Here is a 17,398-nt window from a genome sequence, read left to right as displayed (position 1 = left end):
GGAATCCCATTCACTGCTTACAGCAAGCCCACAGATGACAAGCATTACGTGGGACCAGGAGCAGGTAAGTGACTTGCCCAAGGCCCTTCAGCTAGTAGATAGTGGAGGTGGTTTCAACCCAGGTTCTCTATTTCTGAGACTTTGTTCATCCCTTTACCTGTGCTGCCCTGGAAAGACTCACCAGCTGTTGGAGAGCAGGTGAAGTGAAAGGCTTTAAAAAGGAGGCTCCTTAGAAATTCTCAGCTCTGCTCTCATAACTTGGTTTATGAAGCACTGGGCCTGCTGACTCCAGTGGGTTGAAGAGGGCTTTGCTGGCAGCCTCTGTCCCGGCTTGAGATGTGTGGCCCGTCTCTGACTGACACCGCCTAAGCCTCTCAATCTCTAAGAGTGATTCCATCTCATGGATGAGAGCCTCCGACATCTGTACCTGTCAGGCGACAAATCCAGACACACACTCCCTGTCTGGTTAGATATGCATCAGGCCCGATTAGGCCCGTGAACCTGCCTGCTGTGTGTGGATCCCTTTAGCCAAAAGCCACAAAGATAATTGAATTCGGGTGCAATTCTCACCAGGAGGTTGCCTGGGCATGTGTGGGGAAGGGTCTAGAGTAGGGGGCTGTGGGTGGTGGTGCGGGGGAGGTGGGCCCCACCTCTGTGATGCTGGGGTGGAACAAATGACTGACAGCCCAGCCCAGGACAAGGCAAGGGGGTCGCCTTACCCTCAAACCCCCATTCCCCAACAGGTGCTTGAAATTTCAGCACGAGTATTTTTCACTTCTAGGAAGTGTTTTTGTCTTTATGGCCTTGGCAGGATGGGAACACAGGCAGCGGGTGAACAGAAATACCCTCGGTGAGCAGGTGGGTCGGAACATCTGCACAGCCAGGCTGCCCTGCCTCACGCCTTCAGATCCAATTTCATTTCCTCACTTTGCATCCCTTTTTAATCAGCAGACACACCTGGAAAGGGCGTTCCTGCTGTCCCCCCAGCTCCGTTAGCCCTCCTCCAGCAGTTCTGCACAGTTCCCTGGCAAAAGGTGGGCTGAAGGTGGGAAAATGCCAAGGGTATATCTCACCTGCTTACCAACGGGGCTCTGCTGTGCCTGGATTCAGCCACCTCATCCTCAATGCCTGCCTTCACCCTGCCTGGATACAGAAGCCCCCAGCTCCCCACAAGGGAGACAACATGCCCTCCATGGCAGCTGCCAGTGATATAGACACCTCCACATCCACCACCATTAATGCAGTCCTACAGGCAGGTGCCCCTCACTGCCTAGAGAACACCAGCAAGCTTTCTGGCCACTCTGAGTCCTGCCTCTTGGAGTGAGAAACCAGAGACTCATCTTTCCCAGTGTCTCTTGTAGCTGTGACGAGGGCATGGACATGGAGTCTGCCAATGGGACCCACCAGTAGAGGCTTCAGCCTGAGACAGGCAAGCAGTGGCCAATGCCATGCAGTATCTATTTCCTGGTAAAGGCAGGGGCAGAGGCATCTGGCTTTGGAGGCAGCAGAGATGGAGGCACCAGGATCCAGGACCCTGTATCAGCAGTGAGAGCTCTGAGAATTGTGCCAGACCATGGCAGCCCTGAGGTCTGTAGGAGAAGAGGCTGGGGTTGGTTTGGGCGTTATTCCTGACTGGGCAGCTGCTCCCAAAGTCTGAGTCTGTCTCCCACAAAGATTTAATATCTTCATTTTCTGCTTAAGCTAGCCAGAGTAGATTTGCAAACACCCTGACTGGTATAGCACTCCCTGAAGTAAGCATGGGGTCTTTGTCAATAGCTAAGGGGTGTTTGTGAGTTAGTGTGGTTGTATATGTGTGCACACACAGAGGTAAATGAGAGAAGACTCCTGCCCTCAGGGAGCTTACAAGCTTCTAAAAGGTAACGGTAATAAAGATGATGAAAATAATAATAACAATAACAATCATGAAACTGTATCTCAATTAGAAGGAAGAGTGGGCAGAGCAGGAGGTGGTAGATGGACATGACTTATCATCAACAAGAAAGAACTCAGCAGAACCCTGCCCCAGGCCACCTGCAGGGTTCCAGTAGGGAAATGAAAAGGAGGAGAAGTGAGCATGGCAGAGATGCAGCCACGAGAGGGACAGAAGACAGTCAGGTCTGCCGCCTGCTCTTCCCGTCCTGAGTCAGGTCTGGACCCTGCAGTGGACACAGCCACTCCTGCTGCCTGCAGAGCAACCCTCCCAGGTTCTCCTGCACCTGGCCAGCCTCCTGAGCAGGGAACAGAGCAGATGGCCAGCAGACTGCCCCAACACAGGAATCTAGGACTCAGGGCCCAGGACACTCAGGAAACTCGGTTGCCATTCTCCGCGATGCTCAGACAGCCACTGTCAGTCAGTCTCCCCAAGGGCCTCCCACCTAAGCACCATGCCTGTCCTCATGTGCTCTGCCAGCTCTGAAACACTCTGCCTCTCTCTACCCTTGCCACCCCCACCTCCACCGTTCCCCTCTTCTGTCTCTCTCTTCCTTCACCTCCCTCTCTCCCACGTCCCCTGCATTTATCCCATGTCAGCATCCTGGACCCTTCTTCCCCTAGTTTCTTCCCTCTCTGCCGGTGTCTTTCCCCTTCTCAGCCACTTCTCTGCCACCTACTGTCCTCTCCATTTCCACACCAAAACCTCATCTCCAGCCCTCCCCAGCAATGCCTTTCCCAGAGCTCCTGCCTGGTCACACCTCTCGCCTCCCTCTCTTGTCCTCCAGCTCCATGGACTCTAGAACTGCCAGCAGCTTGTCTCTGGCACCCAGTTCCCCTTGCAGTCACCATCCACAGTCCTCTGAGGATATATCCAATCTCTTCCATGTCCTCAAGCACAGCACAGGATGGACACTAAGAGGGAAGGAAGAGATGGGGACAGTGGAGACTGGGATAATCAATTTCGGGCCTCCAAGAGCCAGAACACAGGGCTCTTCTCCTCTAAGACAGGGTGCAGGGGACTCCAGCAGAGCCAGGAGAGTGCTAAGATGGCCCATGGGAAAAGCCTCTGGCTTTGTGTGCAGGGGTTGTGGTGGGGGGATGGGGGTGTCTGCCTCTCTTTTCATTTCTCTGTTCTCTGCCTCCATCTCTGCGTTTCTCTAATTCCACTTCTTGGTCTCTTTGTGTCTCCAGCTCTGTGATGGTAAGGTGGGAGTTGGAATAACTTCTCAGCATTAACCATGGCTTCTGTGTGGGGGACGTTACCTTAATTGAGTCTCAGCTTGTTCACAGCCACTCGGCTGCCATAAATAATGGATGTCCAAATGGACTGTAAACTGGAAAGGCTGAGCCATGTCACACAATGCAATGGCCCCTGGCTTCAGCCTTCTGCAGGGCGCCTAGCCTCTCTCTTAATAATGCATGGTCCACACCCACCACAGCCAGACACCCAGCGATTCCCAATGAGAAGCTTGTTATGCTGTGCTGCAGGAAGGAATCAGGAACTTGCCCACTCTCTGATCCTCTCAGGGGAGGGCAGCAAGAGCCACACAGAGGTGTCAAGGCCTCAAGTCTTGTGAGAAAATGAACCTACCTACGATGTCACTGCACATGAAAATGACCTGCATCCTCCCTCCTGTGGGTACCGGCAGATGGTCTTTTGGTTTCTGGCTTTAATCCTGGGGTACAAATCCTGTAGCCGTCTGCTCACCAGATCCCTGAAGACTGCACCGTTCTCTGTGTATAGAGCAAGCTGCTGGTTAGAGGATCTGAAGCTACTTAATGCACTTGCGCTGTTTGCAGAACCTCCCTCTGTTTGTAGAGCCTGCCAATGCAGAAGGAGGGCTGTTGGCAGACTCTGAAGCTGTTGGCTACTTCTGCCCCCAAGACTGACTCACAGTCAATGCCCTTGCTCATACATGTAGGGCTTCCCTTGGTCCCATATCTTAGCTCCCACTTGGTGCCCCCATCCTTCTGGTTGCTCTGCCTGCCCCAGGGTCTTCAGCTCTGACTCACTGACCTCCCATGCCAGAGGTATTCCCCACCCACTATCCCCCAAGTCACATCTGTGTTCACAAATGCCTTCTCATCATGGATCCTGAAAATTAGCCTAGGACCTAGAGGTGTCTAGGGTGGGGGTGTAAGGATGCTCCTGGAAGGACCCCGTGCTGCTCAACAATGCCTACTGGTTGATGTCCTCAGTGCCAGGGGTTTGCTTTTAAAGCTCCAAACTCAAGACATTAATAAGATTCAGTGTCCATTTTATTCTAACACATTCTTGTTGGTTTTGTTCTGAATGCCTGTGGGGTGGATGATTGGAAGCAAGCTGTGGTTGTTTAGTGGTTTTTAACTTTAATAGCTTTGGTAATGTAGCTAAAGTCTGTTCAACTTCTGTTGCTACTGTTACCCAAATGCTTCAGGCAAATCATGACCAGGTCATCTGATTATTTCTCTAACAGGCCAGGCTTAAAGCTTGCAGATAGTTGGAATATTGTAGGGCCTTTGTTGTGGGGGGTGGGGGGTTGGCAGGGGATGGCCCCTCTGTGGCTAGGGCCAAGACTGATTACAAAGCTGTGCCTCCCCATAGGATGCCCTTCCTTAGTTTCTTTTTAGAAAACTCATTTTGTCATAGACAGGCTTGAAATGGCCAATGACGCTATTAATTACAACTGGCAGATAACAAGGCATTTTCACAAACATTGTATGGGATGTTTGTGAAACAGGCAAGAAAAAACAACTTCAGAAATGTTCAGTGACTTCTCCACAGGGAAGACTTCAAGTCTACTGACTCCAAATTCAATGTTCCCTGTGTAGTTCTATACTAGGAGTTCTTAACCAATCTTCTAAAGAAAACTTCAGCTTCTGCAGAAGTTTCTGTTAACTATTAGAATTTATTTGCAAAATACCGCATTGCAGATGTGTGTACACTTCCTCCCGGGGAGAGGGTCTACTGCTTTCCCAAGATGCTCAAAAGGGGCGCAGCGGAGTCAGAGACCACCGTGCACGTGCGGGGGAGTCAGAGACCACTGTGCACATGCAGAGGAGTCAGAGACCACCGTGAGCATGAGGGGAGTCAGAGACCACCGTGCGTGTGCAGGGGAGTCAGAGACCACTGCGCATGGTATGCCTTGTCCCCCACACCCAGATCCATGAAACCAGTGCCCTCTGATGCTCATTCACTTCATTCAACGAATGTCTATTGAGTGTCATGAAGTGCCAGGCACTGTCTCAGGCCCTGGGGAAACAGATGAGCAGCATAGACATGGTTCTTGCCCTCATGTAGTTTTCAATCTAGTTGAGGAAGAGATAGGCGAGATTTCACTTAAAGTAAATGGAAAGGGAAGTGTTGGGTTGTGAGAAGTGCTATGAGGGAAATAAATGGGGGAGCCACTGAAATTTCTGCAGCTGGGTCTGGTATGGGAGTGGCGAGTAAGGATGCACCACTATTTTGTCATCCTGAAATATTGGTGAGTCTGGAATGCTCTTTAATTTGGGGCTCACTCACTCAGTTATTTAAGAGAGACCTTTCCACTCCTGGCATCTACAGCCTGAAAACTCTGCTCTTCTTGTCCCTTTGAGGAAGGGTAATGTCCATTTTCAATCCTTACAATTTCTTTCACAGTGTCATGTTGTGAGCATAAAGACATTTTTGCTGAAGCAAGCCAGAACCCCTCCTCCTGCCCATCTGCCACCTCTGCCCCTCAGCCCAGTACCCCATCCCCCTACTCACCAGCTCCATGCTTTAGAAAGCTCCAGCAGGCTGGCCCATTTCCCCTTCACAGCTGAGCATGTAACCAAAATTGGCTGTTGTAATGGCAAACTAAATGATGCCCTAATACCCAGATCAATCTTCCTGTGAAATAACTCATTATTCAGGCTCCAATTGCAGGGAATGGAATTAAAACCAGAACAGTTCAACAAGGAACTGCAGCGGCAGATAGTGTTTGGGAGGTGCCAGGTGGGATACAGGAGAAAGGCATGGAGAAGGAGGGGGCTAGGCTTTGGGGAGGGGCCATCAGTTGAAGACAACTCCCCTTTCCTTGAGAGGAGAGGAGGCCAGAATGGGGCTACACATCTGCAGGAAAACAGGCAGAGCCAGCAACAAGCTACAGGGTTCCAATCGGAATCACTTTGTTCTTGTCAAAACACAAGGCTCTGAGCAGACAGCAAGCCGCAATGACAAGAGCCCTGGCCAACACTCCCCAGGAAGAGGCTTTGTTCTCAGAGAATGCCCTCGGTCCTCTAAAGATATTTCCACAGAGAACAATAAAAATGGCCTTTATGCACACAGGAGTGAGAGGAGGGAGAAAGGCCGCTGACTCCCCAGGGGTGGTGGAAGGGTCACAGGCAAGACTAACAGTGCCAAAGACCTCCTCTGGGGACCCCAGGCATGTGGAGGGTGGGGCAGGGGTAGAGCAGGTCAAAAGGAGCTGCAGAAAAACAAGTAGTGTTGTCTGAGTAGCTCTCCTCTTCCAATAGCATTCATTCATTCATTCATTCATTTATCTAACAAGCATTCAGTGGTCTCCTACTATGTTTCTGCCACTGCCTCTGTGAATGCCGTAATGTAAAGAGCATTGGGCCAAGAGTGGGAAAGCCCAGGTTCTAATCCTAGCTCTGGGACAAGTTGGCCACATGACCGTGAAGCAGCCTTCTTGGTACTTTGGACCTTGGCATCTTCATCTGAAAAGTGAGCAGACTGGAATAGAACAGGTAGTGAAGCTCCCATCCAGCCCTGATGCTTCAGTGTCCTCAAAGCTGAGCCATGGGAGGCCTCCCAGGAGGACTGAGCCTGGAGGCAAATTTGGAGCAGAATAGGAGCGTGCTCTGGAGATGGGGCAGCCAGGGAAAGGGGCGCACATGTCAGTGTGAAGCCCCGAAGAGAGTGGGGAAAATGGTTGAAAGAAAGAGTAAGAGGGAGTATAATAATTAGAGAGAGAGGTGGTGGAGGGAAAGACAGACAGAGAGAGTGTCAGACAAAGAGAGGGAAGAAGGGAGAGAGGGAGATGGGAGAGAGAATGGAAGATGCTCCTCAGAAGAGGAAAGAATTCAGCTCTGTCTGGCTCTATTCAGCACGTTCTTATTGGGTATCTACTATGTGCTAGGTACCAGTCTTAAGTATTGAGGAACAAAGACTAATATGCTCCCTGCTATCAAGGAACTTATGACCATATTATAACATGAAAAACAAGCAAAACTTTAAAATGTCAACCATCTACTGCAAGGGGATCTCGATCTAGAAGATAGTAATTCTGGAAAATAGTAATAGCTAACACCCCATGCCCTTATTATTTCAATCTTCGCAGCAACCCTATAAGGTGGGTATAATTATCACCTCTTTTATCGGTGAGGAAACTGAGGCATGGGGGGGCAAGGCCACAGAGTCCATCAGTGATGGGGTTAGGATTCAATCCGGAGCAGCCTGGTTTCAAAGCCTGAGCTTAACCATTGCTCTCTCCCTACAGGGTGGGAAGCAGGGTATGGAAAAATGGAAGCCACCCTCCTGCAGCCTGAGATGGGGTAGAGGAAGCTCACCTCTTACTAGGTAGCTTTGCCCCACAAAGAGCTGATTCCTTCCCTTGCATCTGCTTTGTATGATAATAAGAAGTCTGTTGCTTTATAAATACATGCACCTCACAAGAGAAGGAGAAAGGAACAGAGCTCTGTGGGGACAAGCTCCAATTCTCACAGAGAGCGCCAGACCATGGCAAGATTGGAAGATGTGGCACGTCTTCCCTCATGTTGTCCCAAGCTCTCTCTAAGTGGTAATGGAGTGGTGGTTGGAGTAAAAAAATTCTGGTATCGAATCCTGAATTTGCCACTTATTAGCTCTGGGGCTATGGGCTAATGACTAATTATTTCCAAAACGCAGTCTTCCCATCTGTACTGCAAGCAGGTTGAATTAAGTCCACTCATTCTTCACTCTGTGTCCTAGACTGCACTTCCCTCCTCTGCAGCTCTTCTGTCCTTCATTTCTATTAGGTGCTACATTCTTAAATCTTGTATCAGAAACTGGTTCAGGCAGTGAGCTTGGCAAACAAGCAGCTTCCATCATGGAGATCAAGAAAGCAGTAAATGGCTGTGTCTTCATCAGTTAGGAACTAATTTGGCTACCTATATCTGAAAGACACACAACAAAAGTAGCTAAAACAAGATAGAAGCTTATTTCTATTGTAAAAGAAATTCAGAGATGAGCCAACCACTCAGAAAGATGAATCCTTGGTGTCAGGGACCTGGCTTCTTCTGTCTTGTGCCTCTCCTAGACCCAGTATGTGGCTTCCACCTCATGGTTCAAAATGGCTGCTAGAGTTCCAGTCTTTAAATCTACATTTCAGCTAATAAGTAACAGAAAATAAATTAAGAAAGTTGTGCCTTCTCTTGTTTAGGAAGGCTTCACAGAAGTCTCACACAACACTTCCACTTAGCTGTCAGTGGCTAGAACCTAGTCATATGAACACACCTAGCTACAAGAGAGGCTGGGTAATGTAGTTTTATATGTAAACTGGGTTTCAAGCCTGGTGCTCAGTTGAGGGTTTTGTTGATACAAAATAGAGGAGGAATGGGTATTTTGTAGACACTTAGCAGTCTGAGATCCAGGACAATGGAAATGATCACCCAGGAGGTTTATCGTCAGGAGGTGGTGCAGCATTCAGGGATTGGAGTCCAAGGTTCTAGACTTATCTAGACTGCAAGAAGTTGAAGATGTGGTCAATGCCACAAGGCAGGAGCTCCAAGAAGGAAGTACGACAGCTGTGCTACCCCCACCCCACTCCAGGCCCTTCCAACTTCTTGTGTCCTGGGCAGTAGCAGCCCTATCTAGGAGCCAGGCAGCTCATCACACCAGGCACGTGGCTGGGAGAAAGGCAGGTGGTGAGCAAATTGAAATTGTCAGGTGCTTAGACCAAGGACAGAAAAGCCTGGACTCCTCCTTCTCAGGAGGTGAAGCTCACTCTCAGCCCGGGGGTGGGTCCACATAGATGGCAGGGCTGGGCCACTCTTGGGGAGCAGGAGGGGGAGGGTCTCTGAACTGGCTAATAGGAAGCCCCCTCTGCAATAGCAATGGTATTCTAAACAGGAGAATAAAGCTTTGGAAGCAAAACAAAGCTATTCCACTGAATAAATGTTCTCTGCATTAAAGCAGCCAGAATAGCGATGAATTAAACATCAGGTCTGAATGAAAGGAAAATGCCGTGATTTATAATTGCTTCAGGCAGGAGGCAGCCTGGGAGAGAGGCTGAAGCTTCATCAGGGACCCAGTTTCCCCTGCAGAGCTGCAGAAGCACTGAGAGGAGATGCTGGCTGCCTTCAGGGTGGAGAGGACTGCTATAGAGTCTTCCAGAAAAGAGGGCATCCTAGAGAGATGAAAGGAACATGCTCCAGAAGTCAGGAGGCCTGGCTACTAGCCTCCATTCTGCATGACCTTGATTAAGTCACCGGGTGTCTCTAGGCTCCTTTCCTGTTCTTCCGGTGGGGATAGTAACACCTGCCTCATCTCACTTGGTTCTTGGAGAATAAAGAGACATAATAGATGATAAAGGGTTTTGCAGATATAATAAGCTGCTATTACTTCTTGGCCTTGGCATCACCACAAAAGCAGTGGCGAGGTTCCTGTTGAGCTCTGGCAGCTTCTCCAAGGTGACCAGTCTTTAGGAAGGGGGAAGACGGTGGGGGAGAAAAGCAAGATGTGTTGGCAAGCTCTACTTAGAAATGCCACCTTGGAGATACCTGTCAAAACTGCTCCATGCCAGATGGGTGCATCTACTTGCAGGGCAGTGTGCTGTGGTGGTTAAGATCCTGGAGGACCTGAGTTTAAGCCCCAGATCACCCTCTGGTTAGCATGTGACCTCAGGCAAATTAAGCAAATTTTCTGCACCTCAGTTTCTTCATCTGTAAAAGCAGGATAATCATAATACCTCAACTCATAGCATCCTTGTAAGGATTAAATGAGTTCATATAAGTAAGACACTTGCAATGTTGCTTGGCACATAGAAACTTACATGTAACTGCTAGCTCTTATTAAGTTTCTAATACCAAATTCATCAACTAAACTTCTGGAAAGAAGCCATGGGCTGGCTTTATAGGAACCAGAATACTGCCTAACCCCAGCTACTCATACTTTACTATGCATAGGACTCCCCCAGGGATCTTGTTAAAATGCTGATTCTGATTCAGTGGGTCTGGCCTGTGGGCTGAGATTTTGCATTTCTAACCAGCTCCCCAGGGATGCCAGGGCTGCTACTCCTGAGACCACACATTGAGGATCAAGAGGTGAAGGGATGCTACTGGCTGAATTTCGTGGCACTTGCCTTCACCAGCCCGGATATTTGGCTATTTCAGGAGGCTGGTGGGTCAGCGGCCCTGTGCTGCTTCATTCCGCCCCCACCTCCCACCCCCAGGGAGCTGCTACCCAGAGCTTCCTTCCTGGGGAAAAGGAATGATCTGCATACAAGAGGGATGAGCCTGGATTTACCACCCAACAGGCTCTGACAATCTGTCTTGCTAGGATATTCCTGATCTATTAGAAATGACACAGAAATCCATTCCTAAAAATTCCTAGCAGCTGAGGACAGTGAGAAGGCTGCTGGGAGAAAAAGCAGTGAGTGGGTGGGTGTAGCTCCCCACTGGCTGCCCCAGATCTTGACAGGCTGGGCTGGTAAGTCTGTCCCTCCTGAGCTGTGTGGTTGGGGAAGCTTACCTTCCCTGAGGAAGCCTGGCTTCCTCAGCAATAAGTGGGAATCACAAGAAGCCCCACTTTATAGATCAGTATGCATGCATGTGAACAGTTCAAGACTGACTGTTAAGTTGAAGAAAGCAAATTGCAGCAAAGCATAATTTCATTTTTTAAAAATGTACAATCATATTTGCAAACCCATGGGAAAGTCTAGAAAAATACATATCAAACTGTTAAGAGTAGTTACCTTGGGGAGAGAGAGGTGGGATTATAAGATACTTTTACTTTCAATATTGTGAATATTGTGAATTTCTATATTGTTTGATTTTTAAAATAATGAGTATTTATTACTTTTGTAATTGGAAAGCCTCCATTAAAAAAAAATCTGCTTCAAATGGCTAGTGTCAGCCTTCTGGACCACATGGGGAGAGAGGGATTTCCATACGGTCCCTTCTAAGCAGCACAGGCCACAGGGGCTGGGGGCAGAAGCCCTGGCTGAGGGGCTTAGCTCTGCCACGCAGTCCTGCGCAGGTTCCTCCATCTTCCTGAGCCCCTGGTTTCTCATCAGCAAAATGGGAATAATAACAACCTGAATCAGGAGGTCACCATCCAGGGAACACCATGAGGACTGAGTGATAGCACCTTCGCCCAAGCCCGGACACTCCGCTCCTCCCCAGAGAAAAGGAGGAGGGCAGGGCTGCAGGAGGGCCTGGGAACTCTGCTAGGCTTCTTAGGGTAGCACTGAAAGCTCCCACAGTTGGGCATTCCTCAGACCAGGAAAGGAGAGGAACAGAACCTGGTGCCTGGAATATGACAAAGTCAACTTACCCTATGTTCCACTCTAAATCTTTCATGCCTCCCAACCTCTGCTCATGCTGATCCCACTCCCGGGCTTGCTGTTCCTGCCTCCTGATTTGCCCTTGTCTCCCTCACCTGCTGCTTCCTACTCACCTTTCAGGAATCCTCTAGGAATCTTCCCTGAGCCCCTGGTGAAGTTGGGGGCAGGGAGCCCCTCTTGGCTGTTACATCAGCAGGCTGCATTTCTCTACCCTCCTGGGCTCACCTACTGCACAGTAATTACCTGTCTCCTCTTTGAGACTAAGAAGTGGGCAGGTAGGGGTCTTATTCACCTTTGAATCCCCAGCAGCTGGCAGAGTGCCAGGCACTTATTTTTACCTACCTTTTCCCTTGTAAACCTTTTGACATAAACCTCTTAGATTATCCTGGGATTTCCTAGTTGGCTCCTTTCTGCCAAGTGCGATCTGGCAGGACTATAAGGAAGGCAGAGGTAGGAGTGGGCTGGAGAGCTGGGGTGGCAGTGAGGGCATGGTGCCCTCTTGCGGCCAGGTGCAGGGGTGGCTGCAGCATCCTTACGGAAGAAAGGGAGGAGAGGACAGGTGGGCCGGTGAGCTAGATAAGATAGAGGAGGGTCTCTAGGAACAAGTAGAGGAGTGGGGAGATCACTGCATTGGCAGTTTCCCCAGCACAGCTAGGAGTGGTCCTTCTTCCATAGATCCCAGTGAGGGGCTGTGGCTTAGCTTAAAAGCATGAGAAAAGTTGGAGGAAGCCCAGAGACTGCTCCCTTGTGGAGAGGAGGACGCCACTTGGAGGTGCGTCAGGGAAATGCTTAGGCAGGAGGATGGACGCAGAGGTCCTAGAGGTGTGTGACCTGGGAGAGGGACATTGGTGCAAGGCTCCTGCTCACACATTGATGGAAGCCTGAGAATCGAGAGGCCCTCCAGCGAGGGAAACCAGACCGGCTTTCTCCGGCAGGGAACGCATACTTGGAAGCCTCTTGATCCTCCTCTCTGCTCCAGCCCTTACCGTGAGTAGGTCTTCAGCACACTGGATACCATTTTGTGCTTTGAGATGTTGGTGAGGGACCTGGAGGGGGCTCAGGCATCCTCTGGGGTATACACATCTGTTTCCAGGTGACATCTCTAGGACATCACACCCCGTTCACAGTACCTCCTCTATCTGCCCCCAGAACCCCACTCTTCCTGTGGTTTCAGAGATTAACTGGCGGAAGGGGCAGGTGAGAATGTAGGAAGTGGGGAAATCTAGGGAAGGTGGGTGGATGAAGCCAGCCAGCTAGGAAAGTGCTGACCCCAAAGGAGCCCCCCATGAGAGGCCCCCCTCAGCAGCCCTGCCTCCCACACCAGCCCTCTACCCTTAGCTCTCTCTAAAACAACAGAAAATCTTGCCTGGCTCCTCTCACCACCCAGCCCAAGAGAGGGAAAGCTTTCTTTTCTCTTTTCCTTCCTGCCCCTTCCCCATTTCTGGCCCCATCACCCCTTTCCAGGCCTCTATCCTTCTGTGTTCATCCTGACCTCTTCCCTGGCCTCGTGGCTCTCACTTTGAGAGTCAAACATGAGCTGGTTGGAGGAACACTGGGTCAGACATCCAGGGACCTGGGTATGCTGCTGATTTCACCACTGATGTTCTAATTTCTGAAAGCTCCCCAGAGCTCAGTGTCTTCACTTGCAAAGGGTTGGGAGGTTGGATTGGATAATCTGCCACAATCCTTTTAGTTCTGACATCCTGGGATGCATTAGGCTCCGTCAATCCTTGGCGACCCCTTTCCTAAAGCTGATCCCAGGGTCATAGTTAGAATGCATCAACTGCCTTAACTGATGTGAGACATTTCCTAGGGATATAGCCATATGGGAGATAACCTAGAGGAAATGTGAAAAGTATCCAATTCCTGAAACATCACTGTTTCCTCATGCCATGTGAGGAATCCCCACCCACAGAAGTCATCTGCTCCAGCCCCTGCATCAGGCCCAGAAACCAGAGCAGACAGACCCTGCTCACACTCTTTCCTTGCTTGTCATATGACCCAGGGACAGTATCAGATAGTTCCTGCCTTTACAGCCCTCTAGGACTTCACATTTCCAGTCATCCTCATGCCTGGCCCCTTGTGGGACAAGGGAGGGGTCTACCAGGGCCTCCTGAGCAGGGGGGCAGCCAAGGGAAGTACTTAGTTCACCAGAAGCCTTCATCAAGTTTCACTTCCTGGAGTCTAACTTAAACCTTTCTTGCTGCTGTATAAATCAATGTCCCCCAGTTCTGGCTTCCCCACCCTCCTCAAACTAAAGAGCTGCTCATTTGCATACAGCTGCCTCTCCCAGACCCATTTAACTCCCACCTCTCCTGGACTTTTCCTACAGGTTCTATTTTTTTCAACCTTTCATCATTTCTCCTATTGGCTCTGGCTGTGCTCCAGAGCTTCCAAATCCTTCTTAAATGTGACAGCTAAAATTAGATGCCGGGAGAAGGCCAAGTGCAGTGGGATGATCACACCCTGCCTGGCATGTGCCGATTCCTCCTTCCTGGGTCCTGTCCCAGCATGGAAGAGGCTGGTCCTTCCCTAAGGATGTTATTAGACTCCCAGTCCCCTATGATCCTGGGTCCCGTTGGGTTTCTCCTCACCTCCCCCTGGATTGATGAGGCTTGTGTTGAATTTCTACAAGCCTTGCCTTGTATTTCACCCATCCTGAATGGATCATTTTTCTAATCTGTCAAGGTTTCCCTGAATTCTATTTCCGCCCTCTTGGACTGGGTGTTTTCCTTCTGGTGCTCCAGGATAAACCATGATCTCATTCTAAGATGTTCTTAGCTGGTCCTGGGTTATTCATTAGTTCACTCACTTGTTCATTTAGTCAACAACTATTTACTCAGTTTTTCTTTTGTGCCAGCTACTGTGCCAGGCTTGGGGATGCCTCCATGGAGATTGCAGCCTTAAACTGGACAAGGGCCACTCAGGGGCCTGTGGAAGAATATAAGAGGGGTCTCACTCTGTTTCTGGGAGAAATCATTATAGCATATAGCAACTGTGTTTTGGTAATACCAGGCTATGATGTGTTTTTATTGTTGTTGTTGTTGTTTGTGTGTTTTTAAAATTAACCTCTGAATCTTGGTATCTTAATACAATAAAAATTTACTTTTTGCACATGTAAAGTCCAGTGTAGGATGTCTGATTCTCCAAGGCAGCTGTCCTCTCCTTGAGGATCCCTTCTGTCCACTGATGTCATGTCAACATGAGTGGGCTTCAGCTTACTGTAGCAGGAAAAGGAGAACTTGGAGAACTCACACCTGGTTTTAAGTGCCTTGGACCAGAGGGGATCCACTGCCCACAGCCCATTGGCCAGAACGGGTCACATGGATGGGTTAACTTCACCTCAAGGGAGGCTGGGAGATATAACCTTGCCACGTGCTCAGACAGAGGAAATGGGGAGGTGAACACAGAGCATTGTCTCTGCCATAGCAACTCAAGTGGCTGGATCCCAGAGAGAAAAGGTCGGGAGTGGCCATTACCTCCAAGATATAGGTTTAAGAACATGGTAGGAGGGGTTCCCAGAAGGTGAAGAAGATGAAAAGAAATGTGGGAACAGGGTGAAAGAGGTGGAGAGGAAGCAGAGGCGCTGTTACCCACAACCCCTCCCTCGCTTCACACTGACTGATTCCAGCAGCCAGGGACCACACCTTTTTCCTCAGCCACCTGTCTGCAAAGCAGCTCTTGGTCCTACAGAGGAGGGCTGGGACAGAAAGCCAGAGAGATCCTACCCAGGATGGGCAGTCAGGGTAAAATCCTTGGCTGCATCCCTAGCCAGGTCCCAAACCAGGTCCCCAACCAGGTCCCTAACCAGGCTGCGGGATCCTGAAGAAGTTGCTTCACAATCTCAGTACACAGTGGTCTGGAAATTCCCTGGTATTGGTCTCCTGCCTGTTTGTCCTCAAGGCCCTTCCTCGAAACATACAACCACCCACCCTCCTCTGCAACTCCAGACTCTATGCCTGTTGGGTTCTGTTTCCCTTGGGGGAGTTTAGGGTTTGGGGGAGAAGCTGCAGGTGTCTTTCCTGCTCTCCTTTCTGGGGAGGCTCCTCTGGCAGTGGCCTCAGCTCCTGACCTGTAGGCTGGCATGGTTCCAGCTCTCATGGGTGGCCCTGGCTCCCAGGCACTGTCAACACCACTCCCCTGCCACCAGCCCTCGAGCTGGCAGGAGCTTCTTGAGGTTGCTGATTTTGAAGTTTCTTCACTGTCCCACTTGGCTCTTGGCCCCTCCAACACCTATAACCAGGTCACTGCATTACCTTCCTTCTGTCATGTCCTGCCATTAACTTGATTTCTGTTTTCCTGTTTAGACCCTGACTGCTGTACCATCTACATGGCAAGACCCTGGTGGGGGAGAGGGAAGGAACAAGAGGAGAGAGAGTGGATGCTAACTGAGGCAGAGAATATGAAAAACAGAAATCAGATACCATCGGTGGTCTCCTTCCTACCCAGCCTTTGTGATCTCCACCACCTGCACTCACCTTCCAAAGGGCTGTGTCCTCCACATCGGCCCTTGGCCATGGAGGGCAATAAACATGCATCAGGGCAAGATCTAGCTGCTGCCCTCCTGGGTGGGTCCCAAGGCAAATGGTAAGATAGGCAGAGTTGAGCCCTCCAAGTGAGAACAGAATTTTTCTAGAACTTCCCGCAGGCAAGGCCTGTGTTGCCTCATCCATTCATAACCCCTGTGCTGGGGAAGCTTTGGGGGAGATGTTTTGGAACAGGTAGGGCTTCGCTGCATCACAAAAATCACCCCCAGGAAGGCGACCAGCTTCTCAGCCAACTCGGTGGACTAAAGCTGCACATCCATCCAAGCCCAGCTTATGGCGGCCCCAGCAGCACAGGCAGCAGACAGCCTGAGTTCTCTGTATGCAGAAGAGCAGCTCTGAGGTGGGGCAATAAATAAAATCAGAAACCGTAAATAAACCTGCTGGCCTCACACAGGGTGAACAAGCAGCCCCCTGGGGAGCTGGGCTCTGCTTCCAAGGAGGTGATTAAATTCCAAACCACCCCAGCAACTTCCATTGGAAAGTCAGGGCCGGGACTCTGGGCTGGGGGAGAGGGATACAATCATAAAATATTAGAAAACTGAGATCTTAGAGTGAGGATCAAAACTTTAAAATTGTAAGGGATCTTCTCAGTGGCTCTCAACCCTGACTGTGCATTACAATCACCAGAGGTGATTTGTTTAAACATAGCAATGCCAGACACCACCCCTCCCAGTCCCTGCAGAAATTCACTCCTTAGGCTGGATGGGGGCTGAGCACCTCAGATGATTACAAAATATTCCCCAGGCCAGACGCTCTAAGCTCTGCCGCTAGGGAACTCAGGGGTTCCCAGAGCAAGGTCAAGGGTTTCCTCCACTAAAATTGAATCATGCAGCTCTTTTTTTCAGTGCACAAAAGAAATCAAGTTAATGAATAGAATGTTCTGTATTTAAAGTCCTCCCCCTATAAATTTTTCTCTCCTTTTGGCACCTGCTGCTGCATGCTTGCCAGTATATTGGTGAAAAAACAATAGGAACAGAAAATCTCAGAGGCCACTGATCATGTCTGCTTTGATGGCTTTTTTTTAATTAAAGGTAACATTTCTAGGCAATATAAGCTTTGGATAACTAAATCAGATAGCAGTCCCCTCGAATCCTCTTTAGAGCAAAGTGGGTTAGGTGTAAATAAATAGGATTCCATCTTTTGCTGAACCTCAACTTCTAGGTGGTACAGCTCCACCAGGGGTCAAGATCACAACTCCCAGAACTAGCCTGTTGAGGGGTGAATGTCAACTCTACTGCAAATGAGACACCTGGCCTTGGGTAAGCTAACTAGCGTCTCTGGGCCTCAGCTTCCTCATATAAGGAACAGGGATAAGACATAGTCCTCACCTCATGTGGCTGTTGTAAGTACTAAATAAGTCTGTATATTTAAAGCTCTTTCAGCAGCACCTGGCAGTAATGCTATTTAGCTGAA

General features: G+C 49.7%; 2 annotated features.

Moving 5' to 3' along the window:
• Positions 9,819 to 10,457: an enhancer, noted in NCBI's record as "H3K27ac-H3K4me1 hESC enhancer chr6:40298065-40298703 (GRCh37/hg19 assembly coordinates)". NCBI's record gives its function as "activates a minimal SCP1, AML or CMV promoter by ChIP-STARR-seq in naive and primed H9 embryonic stem cells {active_cell/tissue: H9 hESC(naive and primed)}" and the evidence as "EXISTENCE:reporter gene assay evidence [ECO:0000049][PMID:30033119]".
• Positions 10,458 to 11,096: an enhancer, noted in NCBI's record as "H3K27ac-H3K4me1 hESC enhancer chr6:40297426-40298064 (GRCh37/hg19 assembly coordinates)". NCBI's record gives its function as "activates a minimal SCP1, AML or CMV promoter by ChIP-STARR-seq in naive H9 embryonic stem cells {active_cell/tissue: H9 hESC(naive)}" and the evidence as "EXISTENCE:reporter gene assay evidence [ECO:0000049][PMID:30033119]".

This window comes from Homo sapiens, chromosome 6 (assembly GCF_000001405.40).
Source record: "Homo sapiens chromosome 6, GRCh38.p14 Primary Assembly".
Classification (NCBI taxonomy): Eukaryota; Metazoa; Chordata; class Mammalia; order Primates; family Hominidae; genus Homo; species Homo sapiens.
This window is presented reverse-complemented; position numbering and strand designations above follow the sequence as displayed.